This window comes from Homo sapiens, chromosome X, assembly GCF_000001405.40.
Source record: "Homo sapiens chromosome X, GRCh38.p14 Primary Assembly".
Classification (NCBI taxonomy): domain Eukaryota; kingdom Metazoa; phylum Chordata; class Mammalia; order Primates; family Hominidae; genus Homo; species Homo sapiens.
The window spans coordinates 155,045,709-155,061,337 of NC_000023.11; the positions used below are offsets into that span (position 1 = coordinate 155,045,709).

The 15,629-nt window shown below is 41.0% G+C and overlaps 1 protein-coding gene across 1 annotated transcript in view, besides 2 other annotated features; it reads left to right on the plus strand.

The window, feature by feature from the left end:
• Nucleotides 1-14,596, plus strand: part of FUNDC2 (FUN14 domain containing 2) — a 33,461-nt gene extending 18,865 nt beyond the window's left edge. Inside the window, exons 3-5 of the mRNA NM_023934.4 lie at nt 801-876; nt 5,962-6,093; nt 8,887-14,596. Coding sequence (NP_076423.2) covers nt 801-876; nt 5,962-6,093; nt 8,887-8,964 — 286 coding nt within the window. The 3' untranslated portion in view covers nt 8,965-14,596. The remainder of the gene's footprint in view (nt 1-800; nt 877-5,961; nt 6,094-8,886) is intronic.
• Nucleotides 11,560-12,061: an enhancer, noted in NCBI's record as "H3K4me1 hESC enhancer chrX:154285543-154286044 (GRCh37/hg19 assembly coordinates)". NCBI's record gives its function as "activates a minimal SCP1, AML or CMV promoter by ChIP-STARR-seq in naive H9 embryonic stem cells {active_cell/tissue: H9 hESC(naive)}" and the evidence as "EXISTENCE:reporter gene assay evidence [ECO:0000049][PMID:30033119]".
• Nucleotides 11,726-12,020: an enhancer, noted in NCBI's record as "tiled region #3530; HepG2 Activating DNase matched - State 12:CtcfO, and K562 Activating DNase unmatched - State 4:PromP". NCBI's record gives its function as "activates a minimal TATA promoter and a strong SV40 promoter by Sharpr-MPRA in HepG2 and K562 cells {active_cell/tissue: HepG2 | K562}" and the evidence as "EXISTENCE:reporter gene assay evidence [ECO:0000049][PMID:27701403]".
• Nucleotides 14,597-15,629: the final 1,033 nt, after the last annotated feature.

Sequence of the window (15,629 nt, forward strand, 5' to 3'; positions counted from 1 at the left end):
TAAAGGAGAGCACAGAAAAGGGAAGGGGGCTGGAGAATTGGAGTCTAGGGAGGATTTTTTCAACAATGGTTAATGATTACAGCTGATAGGTGTTCAGCAATGAAACAACAAAATCTCTGCCTTCATGAAGCTTACATTTTAGTATCGGGTGGGGGCAGGAAGATAGACAGTAATAAAGAAACACATAATTATATTAAACTGGCTACAAGATGTTGCCACTCAGATATCATATGGACATTTTGCATTCAACATATTCAAAATGACATTATCTCCTCCCCTCCCTTCCCCCACCTTTTCCTCTATTCCTCTTCCTTGTTTTTATATTGTAAAAAATGCCACATTCAGGACAGAATCTTGTGCCTTATCCCTTGCAACCATCCTGTCCTCAAACTCAGGAGTGTTTTTTTTTTTCTTCACAAACAGTTCCTCAGGTCTGCTCCCTCCTTGCCATCTCTACCTCGGCCCATTGGCATTCACTTCTCTTCTGGATCGCTACCTCACCGTCTTAACTAGAGTCTCTGCCTTCGTCCTCCCCCTTTAATCTCTTCTCCACAATGTAGCCAGAGTCATCTTTTAAAAATATAACCTGAGAGTTTTAAGGGACTTACTCAAGACCACAAGATTCATAGAGCCAAGATTTGATTTCCTTATGTCATGCTCCTCTTGGGGCTGGCTTTATGTAGGGGGTAGGAAGGAGCTAGGTCATCTTAAGCTAAGTAAGATATGAACATTGCCAGAAATGCATGTTTGTATGTAACTGACAGCTCATCAATTTGTCTGATGTTGGTTTGTTTTTGTAGGTGCACAGGTTTCATATTCCAGAAGGTTGGAAAGTTGGCTGCAACAGCTGTGGGAGGTGGATTTTTTCTCCTTCAGGTCTGTATGTGAAATGTTCTCAGATGTTTGGAAATTCCACCTGCCCATTAAGGAATGTGGTGTGGGGAGTTGTAATACAGTCCTGGCTATGTCACACTAGACTAGCCTTAGCACTTGTTTTCATGTACTATTTTAAATGCTAGTGACCGTTTGAGTCAAATTTTATTCATTATACTAGTAAATGTTATTTGCCAGTCCCATTTTATTTCCTCATGTGGCGACAGAAGTGCAAATTCCTTATCATAGCTCCCTTAAAAGAGTTTTTAAGACCAGCTGAATTATTAAGCGGATGTGATTTCAAAAATACAAGTGTGCTGTGATGATTTAGTGTCATATGCTAATATTATAGCTAGCTTTCACAGAGGGGATGTTGAGCATGTGATGAGAAATGGGAGCTAAGTGACAGTACAGTCAGATGTCGTCTGCTGTCTCCTTGACCCATAGTTTCAGAACCAGTGGTTGCCAGTTCTCTGAGACTGCTTAGGAGAGACTAACAAGCAAGACTTGAAAAAGGGAGCAGTTTCTCCAAAAACAAAAGAAAACTGACATTTGATTGTATTAGGCATACATTTCTTAGCTCTGTGGCATTGGTATTCAAATTTGGCTCCACATTGGAATCACCTAGGAGTTTTTAAAAGAGCCAACGTGTGCCACTCCTGACCCACAGTCTGATTTCATTGGAAAACTTAAAACTCCTGAGGTGATTCTGCTGTGCTGTGGGAGCCATAACTTGCTGAATCATGCCAGAGTCTCTGAATTCACAGCCGTTTGTCTCTTCCCACAGTTGGCAACCCTCACTTTTGCAAGGTAAGTTCTGCATTAGCACCATGATTGGAGTGAGTTTTGCAGATAGGTCAGGTGAAAATCAAATGTATCGAAGAGGGAAGCTGGTAACTGGCTGTAGCTGGGTTGAGTGTGGTATTGCTGCATGACAAATTCCCCCAAACCTAATGGCTTCAAATAATGATCACTTTATTCTCTCTCATGGTTACAGGAGTTTGGGGAGGGTTAAGGTAGGTGCTTGTGGATCAGAGTCTCATGTGGTTACAGGCCAGATGATCAGAGGGTTAGGGTAGGTCTGGACTTGTGGGGCCTCTTTGTGTCTCTGTCTCTGTTTGTCTTCCCTCCTCCTCTCCTTATTTCCCCCCTGTCCATAGTCTCAGTGCTCTTCCATGTGGTCCCTGTGCCAGTATAGGCTTCCTCACACTACCATGACCTCAGGACTCCCAAGCACAGTTCTGCAGAAACATGGTGCAAGTTGCATCTCCTTTGTTGCCCAAGCCTCACTTTTGTTGGCTGCTTCCCTGTGGGCTTGTTACGTGCTGGCTCTGTTGCTAGACAGGTCAGACTCCCTGCAAGGTGGGGCCCCTCCTCACACCTCTCTCTCCTTCCCCTTGACCCTTCAGGTGGAAGTGCAGTAACATCTCTATCCCTGTGGTTTCCCTTATATGCTGCCCCAAACTTCATAAACATTTTAATATTGCTTTGAAATGTCTTAATTTGAGTGTGTCCTCTGTTTCGTTTTGGGGCCCTGACAGAAATAATTGGTATTGAAAATGTCTCCAGAAAGGCACCTCAAAATGAGATTTTGGGGTTGGATAATTCCAATATTCAAGGGGTACAGGGACACTGCTTTGCTGCAGAGGTGAGACATGGAGAATCTGTGGCAGGCACTCATGTTATCTGTCACCAGGGGAGTGAGAGCAGGAGGCAAGCATAATGTTGGGAGATCAGTTATATCACAAGTTATAGTTTGACATAGGGATCCAGTTTCCTTTTTTCCATACTGATAATTGAGCAGAATTTAGTGAATAATTCTTCCCTTTCCCAACATTTGCAGCATTGTCTCTTTCATATATCAGAACCCATGTATGTGTGGCTGTGACTCTGGTTTCTGTGTTCTGTTCCACTGGTCAACTTTCGATCTTTATGACAGTACTAAAGCTTAATATTTGGTAATGCAAATTCCTCCACCTTATTCTTCAGGAGTGTTGCAGCTACTTTTGTGTTTCTGCTCATTCATCTAAATTTTAGATCAGACTTGTCAGTTATTTTCAAAAATCCTGTTGAAATTTTTATCGGAATTGCATTGGAACCATGTAGATATCTCTTATGATATTGAGTATTCTATCTGTGAACACGGGCTTTCTCTCCAATTATTTAGGTCTTCTTTAATGCCTTTGAATAGACTTTTTATTATTTTTCCGTATAGATCTTGTACATCTGTGATTCAGTTTTATTCCTGGATACCTTATAACTTTAGTTGCTCTTGTGGATGATACGATTTTTAAAACTACACATTCTGATTCATGCTAGTGTGTTGAAATACAGTTGATATTTTATGTTGCTCTTTCAGCCAGCCACCTTGTTAAAAAAGTCTTGTCTGGGATTCTTTTGGGTTTTGTCTATAAAATCTTTTTATGCCATCTGTGAACAGTGAAATTTTTCCTTCACGTCTTTATGAATGTAGTTGCTTTTTCTTACCAAGCTGTAGATCATTTCCAGCACTTTTTGCAGCTTTCAGAGCCCAGCAGCAACGCTTGCCAGTTTTCAGTTTATTCGGCTCCCTCTACTTGTTGTGCTGCAATGGAAGTAGGATGTTGAGCTTTGTCAGTAGAGGGCGCTGGAGGGACCTTGCAGCGGGAGAGGCTGCTTTTCCCAGTTCTGGTGTTGCTTTGCCCCTGCAGTGCAGTCCCCCAGTAATGCCAAGGAGAGCAGGAAGTCACCTCGCAATCCTGGCCTGGGCCACCCAGGGGACTTCACCACCACCATTACTACTTTTGCCCCCTTGTGAAAAATCAGTTTGTTGTAGTTGTCCACGTCCGTTTCTGTACTTTTTATTCTGTTCTGTTGGTCTGTGTGTCTATCTCTTCTTCAGTATGACACACTGTCTTGACTACTGTAGCATTATAGTAAATCTTAAATCAGGTAGTGTGATTTCCCCAACTCTGTTCTTTTTCAGATTCATTTTGGTGATTCCAGTTCCTTTGCCTTTCCATATAAATCTTAGAACCGGCTTATTTATGTATCTATAAGAAATCCTACTGGGATTTGTGATTTGGGATTGCAGTAAATCTATGGATAATTTGGAGAGAACTGGGCATCATTTCTGTGTTGAGTATTCCATTCCATGTACATGATGTGTCTCTCCATTTATTTAGGTTGTCTTTGAGTTCTTTCTTCAGCATTTTGTAGTTCTCAGTATACAGATCCTGTATGTTTTATTTGATTTGTACCTAATATTTAATTATTTTTTGCACCCATTGTTGTAAATCATTTAAACATTTTTCATTTCCAGTTCAAATTGCTAGCATATAGAAATTCAGTTGGTTTTGTGTGAATTTGTGTCCTGTGACCCTGCTAAACTCACTTTTTTAGTCTAGGAGTTTTTGTTTTTTGTTGAAGTCTATGAAATTTTCTATGTAGACAAAGATGTCTATGATTGGAGACAGTTTGACCTCTTCCTTGTGAATCAGGATGCCTCCTAATTCTTTTTCTTGCCTTGTTGTGCTGACTCTGAATTCACTTCTGGTACGATATTTAATAGGAGTGGAGACGGCGGACAGCTTTGCCTTGTTCCCTGCATTCGTTCTTTCACCATTCTGTACAGTGTTAGCTGCAGGGTTTTTTATGTAGATGTTCTTTATCAAGTTGAGGAAGTTCCCCTCTATTGCTCTTTCTCTGAGAGTTTTATCATGAATTTGCGTTGAATTTTGTCAGATGTTTCTTGAGTCCTGCCTTGAGGTTAGGCCAGGCGATACTGCAGGAAAAGCAGGAAACACGCCACCAGTTTGGTGGTGCTTTGAATTCTGGTCTTCTCCAATCTGCACGTCGCTGTTTTTATGTAAGAGCCTTCAAATAGCTAGTCCATGTATTCTCTCAGTTTAATAGCAGGATTTTGTGGGATAAACAGGGTGGAGTAAATGAACCAGAGCCTTCTTTTAGATACAAATGTTGATACTCAACTATGTGGTTGCTGTAAGTAATTTGTTCTTTTTAGTACTAAGTAATATTCTATTGTGTAAATATGATACAATTTGTTTATCCATTCATGTGTTGATAGACTTTTGTGTATTTCCAGTTATAGACTCATAAATAAAGGTACTATGGCTTGATTACTTGTGAAGTTGAACTTTTTCCTTTTTGTGGACACTTTCCTCTGAATTGCCCTTACCCATTTTTAAAGTGAACTTTCTTACTGATCTCTATAAGAAGTTCACTTTTTTGAGTATCAATGTTTTGTTTATGATACACATCACAAGTATTTTCTCTAGTCTGTTTGGGTGACTGGTGGTGCCATTAGCTAAAATAGGGCCTAGAGGAAGAGCAACAATGCAGGAGGAGACTCTAGCAAGGTGAAGACTTTTAGTTTCAGATATTTTGAGATTGCCAAAAATTTGGTAGAGAGAAGTGATATTGATAGGGCATTGATTGATTGGCTACAGTCATTCTCTTCATTCCTAGGATGATATTAATCCATCATCAAAATCTACATGCTTGAATCAGATTTACACTGAGTTTTAGTGTTTGTGCCTGCTGTTTTTATCAAGGGAAATAGGTATATGCTGTAGGTGTCTTTGGATGTGGTTCTCTTAATATCCGTTTATATGAACTTGCTCATGAGAAATCTCTGTGGGGCCAGATGCTAGATTTCTTCCTGTTAAGCAACAGTAATAACTGCCTGAATGCTTTGCTCTGTTCACATTGTCAGGAAACTGACACTCATGGGCACATTGTCAGAGTCATTCTCTGGAAACATTTGTATTGGCTGTAAGGTCCATCTCTTCACCCTACATCTTGACCCCCCACCTTGATTTTCATCTTATGTAACTCTTTGTAAAAGGGTTGTAAGAGTATAAATAATTTAAAAGAATTGCCAGTAGTTATTTCTAGTGCCAGGCATATGGCTTCGCATATAGGGGGGATGCTGAGTAGATGTCATCATGATACAAAGAATCAAATGGCAGATGTCTCCAAAAATGGAAAGTCAGAGGGTTTCGAGAGTCTACTTCAGGATTTATCCTGACTAAAAGAAATAACAAATCTGTTTCTCATTTCTTGTTGTCATTATTGTTGATACTGTAGCTTGCAAACCATACTGGGTACATCAAAGTTGACTGGCAACGAGTGGAGAAGGACATGAAGAAAGCCAAAGAGCAGCTGAAGATCCGTAAGAGCAATCAGATACCTACTGAGGTCAGGAGCAAAGCTGAGGAGGTGAGACTTGCATTGTTCACGTGTAGTGTGTGAACAGTGCAGACAAAAACAGGGCTTAACCCTATTGTACCATATCTCAGTGATGGACAGGGCTTAAGCATTACAAAGAACTTAGAGTAATGAGACAAAACTAACTTGGATTATCATCACTTCAGAACATTTTTAAAAGCTGGATAATTGTTTGGTGACCTTTGTCTGTGCACATTTGTGGAGTGATTATCCCTTTAACCAGTTCTTGTAGGAATGTGGGGCAGCATAGTAGGTGGGAAGGATATATGGCCAGTATAATTATTTTGAGTCCCATTTTGTCGCTATACACGCATATCTCTGAAACATTCATACTCTGCTTGTTCTGCATATAACTAGTGGAAATGTCACAAGTATTCAACTCCACTGTATATCATCAAAATAGCCATAGATGATATGTTAAATAAGTGGATGTGGCTGTGTTGCAATAAAACTTTATTTAAAAACAGGTTCAGATTGGATTTGGCCCATGGGCTGTAGTTTGCTAACCCCTGATCTTGTTCATTAAAGCCAAGTTAGATTATGACCTGGCACTGCAGGGACAGGAGAAGTCCTTCCTTTTTAAAAGGATATTTTTTGCTGCTGCTTTATTACCTTTAGAAATATGTCAGATGTTGCAAATAAATAAGTACACTGAACTGGGGAGAAATAAACAAGGATCAGGGTGTCAAGAAGATAGCTGGTACTTTCTGTAGCCTGGAGTGATGAGAGATTCTCCCATTAGCTCACTCTAGCCTCACAGGGAAAACAGACAGATTGAGTGCAGGGGAGGAGAAATACCCTGTGTGCGCCTCAGGCTTCTCATGTTGTGAGTGGCTCTTCGTGCTGGTGATTGGCAAGTGGCTGGTCAAAGCTGGTGCCTTTACCCAGAGTGGGAAGGTGGCAGAGATGGGTATCTACAGGAGCCCAGAGCCCAGATAGTTTCTCTTTCCTTTCTTCCTTCTGTCTCTCCTCAAAGTTAGGAAAGTTACATTTTTTATTTCATGAAAACTTTATTATTCAAATGTTTATAAAAATAATGCATGGCTGGGCACAGTGACTCACCACAGTGAGTAAAAAAAAATTTTGTAAGAGAGGTCTCACTCTGTTGCCCAGGCTGGAGTGCAGTGGCACAGTCATGGCTCACTGTTGCCTCAACCAAGCGATCCTCTGACCTCAGCCTTCTGAGTAGCTGGGTCTATAGGTGTGTACCACCACACCCGGTGAAGTTTTAAATTTTTTGGAGAGACAGGGTCTCCCTGTGTTGTCCTGGCTGGTCTCAAACTTCTGGGCTCAAGCAGTATTCCCACCTCGGCCTCCCAAAGTGCTGGCATTACAGGTGTGAGCCATGGCACCTTGCTGAAAACTTTAAAAATAATACTGGAAGTGTATATAATAAAAAGCATAAAGTTAATATTTGATTAGAACCAACTGTTGACTCACAGAGGGAGTTTGTTATAAAGTAACCAGATAATTTGGAATTGAGTTCACTGTCACAGGCCCTGGGGATGTAGTGGCTGGTTTTCCTACTCATAGAGCCGGTGGTCTGATTTGAGAAACAGGATGAAGATTTAGTTCAGTATTTACCAACAAGATGACTTCAGTGAGAACAGTTTGGTGGGGTGGTGGAGTTGAAAGCCAAATTAGCAAGTTGAAGAAAGAGTAGTAAAAATAATAAACGAAACCAATTTTCTCAGGAAGTTGTATGATTTTTTTTCTTCACCCCAATGGCAGATGACAAAAGTGCTTCATTTAAGGAAATGTAGAGGTCCAGGAGAGATGGAGGAGGAGTGGAAATGAGGCAGGAAGACATAGGCATCGTTGGAGTAAGGGCTTACTGGAGGGTTAGAAGACAGTGGTCCTAGGAGGATGGGGTTGGTAGTGTGAAAAATGTTAGGGGAATGTCAGGGTGTGAGTAGCTTAGGTGGTTTGGGGATGGAAGTCACCGTACTTGAGTTCAAGAAATGATCAGGCCAGGATGTTGGATGTCTTGTTCATATGAACACTTTCTAAGGTGGTGATCACACTTAGGAGAAAGAGGAAGTCTGAGCCACTTATCAAAATTGTCTCTGAAATTGGAAGGGTGGGGAGTGGTCAGGAGATTGGTAGAGCACAGACTAAGGAGCCATAAAGAGTGTCTGAATGTATGCACTGAGTCTCAGATGACCGGGAGCTATTCCAGGAGGGTAGAGGGGAGGTGGGAAGCTTTGGGAACTTAAGGAAATAAGAACGTCACCTGTTAATCATCTTAGATGTGGTGAAGTGTGAGAATGAGAATTTATAGCATCTACCTGGGAGCAGGTTTCAGGGGGGAATGCATGGATGGAGAGATTTAGGGGAGAGACTTCAGGAAATGAGAAGCCTCTATTGGAGGGTAGATGCCAAAGAGGATGGAAGGAGCAAAATTGGAAACAGAATTGCCTCTGTAACCAGTTTATTTAGTGCAGCTTTACTCTTTCGCCATAACTGTCCCCATGAACTCTCCTTCTTTGTCCTTGATTCAAAGAGCCATTGTCTCTACCTCCTGATGTGCATCCTCCTTCCCATCAGGCTCCCTCTAGTCTTATTCTCCCCACACCAGCCAGTAGTCATTTTCATATGTAAGTCTATTTAATTATTATTAAATAGACTATTAGTGTAAGTCCATTGCCCTTTGGGTAAAGTGCAAATTACGTAACCGATGAGGGGATTGACATTGTTAAGACTGGCATAGGTATAATAGAGATGATTCTTAATATTATTAACATCCTTAGCAAAACAACCCATTGTACTATCTTCTGTTTTCAGGTGGTGTCATTTGTGAAGAAGAATGTTCTAGTAACTGGGGGATTTTTCGGAGGCTTTCTGCTTGGCATGGCATCCTAAGGAAGATGACCTCATGTTCATTGTTCCTGGTTTTTTCCAGCCAGCAGCCTCTACACTCCATCATAGGACATCGAGTCCCTCCTCCTCTTCTCCCATGCCTTCTTCCCTGCCATGGCAAATCTGAGTGGCTTCTCTAAGCATCTGCTGGTACAAGTCAATGTGGCACCATGAGCTTCATGGTGGCAGAAGAGACAATAGTCCTTAGCTCTCCTCCCAGTACACCCCCTACTTGGCCAGTCTGTAGGCCAACAAGAAGGTTCCTTTACCCCCATGCAAGACACTTATGAGAACACATTACAAGATGGCTGACCGTGGAGGATGAGTGGATCCTGAAAGGTTGTCCCAAACTGTTGATTTGGAAAAGAAATAAGCACATAGATAACCTTATTGTGTGCTGCATGGAAAGGAACTGAATACATTTGCCTTTAAGCATGAAAGATTTTGGTATCTTGGTGTCTACTTTCTTTTTTAGTTGGTTTTACATTACAGAAAGCTATTTAAATGTGTTATAATTATGCCGACAAAATTGGCAGCATAATTACTGTAATTGAAAAATCTGATATTGTCCAGGAATGCTTTCTACCGTACAGGATAATGTATCTCATGGCTGTTTCCAAAGGGTTTATTTATTGTAAAACAAGTGATTTAGGTGGGAAAGGGAAGATTTTGGATTTTTATTTTGTAGAAAAGGTTTTAAGCTTTGAAATGTGAATGAAATATCCTTATCAAAACATTAGGGGTGGCCATAACTCCTCTGTGCCACTTCTACTATTTTTTTTTTTAATCTAGTTAGTATGAAATACAACATTTAAACCGGAATTTTAAAGAAGTAGCTTTCCAGGGATTCAGAATTAAGAAAGATAGTGATAGGACATGAGAAATAAATTTCCATCAAGTGTAATCTACCGTCTCATGATGACCACAACCCTGAGAATTATTCTTTAAAAGCTTACACACACACACACACACGGGCACACACGCACACACAGAATCTTACCACATTTTGCTGTAGTGGCATGTTACCATGTCTACAGTCCCTACTAGAATATCAGTCAGCTTTCAGAGGGCAAGACTTCTGTCTTCACCATTATACTCACAGGGCCTAGCACTTAATAGGTGCTGAGTATTTGAATAATGACTTTATAGAAAGAAAACTCACTATTAAAGGTTAGTTTTACTCAGAATTGTTAATCTTGGAGATGATCTCTTGTGAAATATGAGTGTGTTTCTAAGGCCATACATTTAAAAATGTTTGCATTTTAACCCGTCTTGAGAATGATGTATTGAATTTGAAAATCAAAACTACCAGTGGATGTGTGGAACTTTACAGAAACCACCTATTTGCGTTTTTCTCCTTACATTTAAGGAAACATAAGCCATTTTGCTTGCAATATGTATGAATCATCTCAAAACCATAATGGTATGAGCCTCTTTGCTGCATATTTTGCTATAAGAACTTATTTTTTTTCACTTTTTATTATGGACGCTTTCAGGAATATATAAAAGTAGAGAATATAGTACAATAATCCCCCTGTGTATCTATCACTCACTCACAACAATCATCAAATTATAGCTCTGCTGGTTTTTACCAGTTATTGTGAAACAAATATCAAAATGTCATTTTATCATATTTCAGTATGTATCTCTAAAAGGTAAGAATTATTTCTAAAAATCATAAATACCTCATCATATCAGACATTAACAGTAATTACATAATATCCAAAATCTGATCAGTGTTCAAAATTTCCTCAAGTGTTTTATATTTAGTTTGTTTGAATCAAAATTCATGCAAGGTTCACATCGTATTTGCATGATTTGGATAAGTCTCTTAACCTTATAGATCCTCCTCTATTTTTTTTTTTTTGCTTGCTATATATTTATATCTCTATATATATTGATATAGACATATGTAGTGACACTGAGTCATCTGTTTCCTGCTTCCCCACACTCTGCCTCTCCTGACATCTGGGTCTCTGGGTTATGCCATATATGGTGATAGTGGCTGCAGCCACTTTACCTGTGTGACTTACCCACAGCAATGGGATGGTAACAGCAAAGCTAACCAAAGTGCTCTGTGCCCCTTTGGGTTGCATGTGGGGAGACTGGCCACCCAATGCCTCTCCAGTGGGGTAGGGGTTGTCTTTTGGTGCATCTGTTTTTCCTGTGATTATTGGTGAGGGCAGCAAAGATTAGCAGGTGGTTGTAAACTACCTTGAGTAGGTTGTAATAAATAGTCTGGCCTCAGACTGTATTCTGATTGTCTGAATTAAGATCTGTAGGTAGGTCCCTCCTGAAGTTTTTTCCCAGCTGGCTGCCTCTACGACTGTGAGGGTCATGGTTGAGGTCAGTATTGCAGGTTGGCCTCATCCTGCTAGTATGAGAACGGCTGTGAGTTCTGCCCACGGTGTGAGGCCACTGTGACCACTTGGGATTGTGCAGAGCTGGCATGGAGGTTGAACACGCACAGCTGCACACCTTGTTTTCAGTTTAGCTGAACCATCGGTGAAGGAGGCTCAGGCATTTGGGGTTACCTGTGAATCAAGGCCCTATTGTGCCAGCAGTTTTGTTTCAGGTGGTGAAGTGGGAGTTAAGGTTTCCCCCAAAAGAACAGCTGCCACTCCTCCATGCAAAACCGAGATGATTCAAGGACCAGGCAGCTCCACCTTTCAGTGCACTACTTTCATTTGACTGGAGAGGCCTGCTTAGCTAGGCACGTATTTTCTCCAGTAGCAGAGTCCAATGACGCTCTGGACTTCCTAATTAGTGGTGGTGGGGCGGAAGTTTTTCCTTGGGAAGAGCGTTGTCGCTGTATATGGTCCGCAGAAACTTGACTTGGAATGTGTTCGGGGTTTCATCGCCCCCTTGTGGCGGCGACGTGGTAACACCGCACTCAAGGCTTCCAACTTGTCAACCAATAGGATGGCATCTACGTAGTGAAGGCTTCCCTTCCCTTGTCCTGCAGCGTGCTGGACAGTGTCCCGGCTCAGGGACCCCTTCTGTCCCCTTCCTGGCTACTATGGGTCGGCCCTGCGTCCTCACCACTTTGAGCCACCCTTTGACCCAGCGTCTCTCCCGCAATGGGACCTGGTGGGATGGGGACTTGGAGCATGCTACAGGAGAGGTAGAACTTTTGAGTCTCTTCTTCCCAAGGTTCTCCCCAGAGTCGGAGAGCAGAGACGGATCCAGGGGCACTTTCTGGCCGCTGCCTGCTCGGGCTCAACAGATGGAGTCCAATGTTTCAGTCTCCCCCAAGAATGTGTATCCTCATTGCTGACACGGGAGCTGGGTGCGGGGAGAGATGTGGTGGTGGGGACCCTTGCCTGAGCAGCCCATTGTCATGAGTGTTATTGCCATTGTGATAATATGTTAGCATGACTCTCCTCCCAAATGGCCGCTTGTTTGTTGCAATCTCCCGCCACTCAGCCTCCAGACATTCATTAACAGGACAGTGGGGTTCTTGACTCCCCTACCACTGGGGTGACAGTCCTTGCTACTGGATCTGGGCAGTTACTGTCTCATGGATGCTGGCAGAAGACGATTCAAGTTGGCGGACTAGATTCTACAAGGAATGATCTCTTGCATAATTCTAGCCAACATGCTCTTGGGGTGGGTGCTTCTGGTTTTGGAAAGCAAAGTTACTGTGTAGTTAACAACTATTGTGGTAAGAATAGTCTCTCCATCATTCTTTTGTTTCACGGTTGTCAGAAAGATGGGCATAACTAATGGTTGGGCTCTTATTTGGAACCTCTACTTTTGTACAGTTTGGGAATCTCTGCTTGAAAAGATGGTATACTGATGGATTTGAAATTTCTGAGTATCATCAATGTTTCATGATGATCTCAATTTCTTCTCAGAGGGAAGCTCACAGCCAGTTTTGGACCCCAGAGAAAAATGTGGCTGCTGCCCTCTACTCCCTCTACCAAATTATCAGCTTCATTTCTTTGTCATGAAATCTAGTATGATTTCTCAGAAATCAGGCCCAGAACTAAAATACATTTTCTGCCCAATTTTCTAAGAGGTCACACTAACATCTGAGTAATTGGGCAGAAAACCTATTTTAGTTCTGAGCCTGATTTTTCTAGAAGTCATATGGTATAGCTTATATTTCCGATGCTTGCATTCTTTTTAAGGGGTCATGAATCTTAATACTTTTTTTTTTAAAAGAAAAGTGTCGCACTTTTTCACATTTTTATAAAGCTTTAAAGTCAGTTTACTGACTTTTCAAAAGTGTCTACCTTTTTAAATTTTAAAATGGTAAGAAATGACATTCCTGAGAGCAGTGGCTTTCATCCTTGCTTGCACTTGGGAATCACCTGTGAAATTTTAAAAACTACTAATGCCTGGCTCTCATCCTAGAGATTCTGATTTCACTGGTCTGGAGTGCTGTTCAGGCATCCTGAGGTTTTAAAGTGTCTTAGCTTTTTCTAATGAGCAGCAGAGACTGAGAACCACTGAAGTACACAGTTGGAAGCTGGTGCTGAAAAAATTAAGAGTTTTGCTGTTAACTCCTTAAGAGGGCTTTAAAGCCTTTTATATTAAGTGCCATACAACTTCAGATGCCTTCTGAATACTGAACACAAGTGTAATATTATAGTTCATTAAATGTCTTAGGAATCGTGTGGAGTGAATGCAAGGAAAGGAGTGACAAGATATCACCCCACAAATGACTTACCCATTACGAAGGGAAAACTACCTTTCTAGCTAAAAGGTCTGTCAGTCACTAACCAAGTGATTAAACTTAGCATCACTAATAGCCAACTTAACAAAGTTTTTTTTTTTTTTTGGTTTCTAAAATGGGAGATCATAGTTTTCACCTTCCTAGAGTTCTTTGCTTAAGACTGAGATTCAGTGTTACTCTTGGTCCCTAACAATAAGAAGCACTCAGTAAATGTTAAGCCTTCTATGATGGCTATTTTATTTTTTTGTATGTCATAATAATACCTAAGAATAAGAAGAGTTAAATTAATGTCTTCAAATGGATTTGTTGACTTAAACTGACACAATCCTTTAAAAGAAGGAACTGATTTGAACCTTTCAAAACTGAAAGAAAGTCGTATACTGATACAGTTTGGAGCCACCGAATGTCATGTTGAACCGTATTCCCTAATGGAGGTGGATCCTGGTGAGAGGTGATTGGATCGTGGGGGCCATCCCCTCTTGGTACTTCACTCATGATAGTGAGTTCTCATGAGATCTGGCACTTCACCCCTCACTCTCTCTTGCTCCTGCTTTGGCCATGTGGAGTGCTCACTCCCCTTTTGCTTTCTGCCATGGCTGTAAGTTTCCTGAGGCGTCCCCAGAAGCCCATCAGATACCAGTGCCATGCTTCCTGTACAGCCCATGGAACTGTGAGCCAACTAAACCTCTTTTATTTATAAATTACCGAGTCTCAGGCACTTTTTATAGCAATGCAACAATGGACTAATACATATACTTTAGCATAAAAACATTTAAAAGAGTCTGAAACTGGAGTAGTTAACTCAGTAAAAATAACTTGGCAATAAAACACAGAAAAACAATCTATTTGATCATGTAGTGATTCCTAATGTAAATCCTAGTACAACTGTCAACTGATAATTTTAAATGTAATTTAGATTTGTAGATGGTGTAACATTAAAGTTGTATGATGTTTTATTGTGTTATTATTAACACAAGACGTCATTTAAATTTCATGGGGATTTAGCTCTGTCACTCTGGTTTGTGGACCAAACGTCTCTAAGGCAGCATTTCTTTAAGTCGCTCTGGAGAGCATTCACACACAGAGATGCTGTCTGCAAAACAGGTTCACTTAGGTTTTTTGAAAGCTCTGAAGTCTGACAGGAAATTAACCTGTGTACTTGTATGCAACCTAGCATTCCCCAAACTTACCTGACCAGAGAAGCCTTTTTTTTTTCTTCCGGTTACAGCAATTCCTAGAAACACTTTGAGTAATGCTGCTTTAAAGAAAACAGTTGGTCTCAAATAATCATGGTATTTTAACATCAGGGACCTAGCAGAAATTGTTCCTGCTTTTAGTCATCTTTTTCTTTTTTAGAGGACAGCCTTTGGTGGTTCAAGCATCCATTTGAGGAAAGCAAATGGCCTGTTGCATGCTGCCTCCTCCTACTTCATAAAGTGACTGACAGCTGTCAACAGGCTTCATTCAGCAGCTTTGTATTAATGTTGTCTGGATCCTCTGTAACAGGTTTTTATTATCAGGATATAAAGAATAGATAAACCAACTAAGTTTGAATTATCTTGCTGCCTACCTGACTTCCAATGAAAATTTTTTCTTCAGTTCCTTCATGATAAATTAAGGATCATTAAGCATTACAAGAATCATTTCTATGCCTTTCCTACCTGGTTAGTCGCTGCAGTGGGGATGCAAAAGCAGAAAGAAATGCTCTTACTGGCATCTGGAAAGACACTTTTTGCTCTGCATTTTTGGAAGTACAAAAGGTAATGAGTTAGTTTAAAGGAAACTTTGAATTAGTTTAGCATGTAATCTATAAAAGGTATCAAAATTGGCTCACGCCTGTAATCCCAGCACTTTGGGAGGCCGAGGCGGGCAGATCACGAGGTCAGGAGTTCAAGACCAGCCTGACCAACATGGTGAAACCCCGTCTACTAAGAACACAAAAATTAGCCAGGCGTGGTGGTGCATGCCTATAATCCCAGCTACTTGG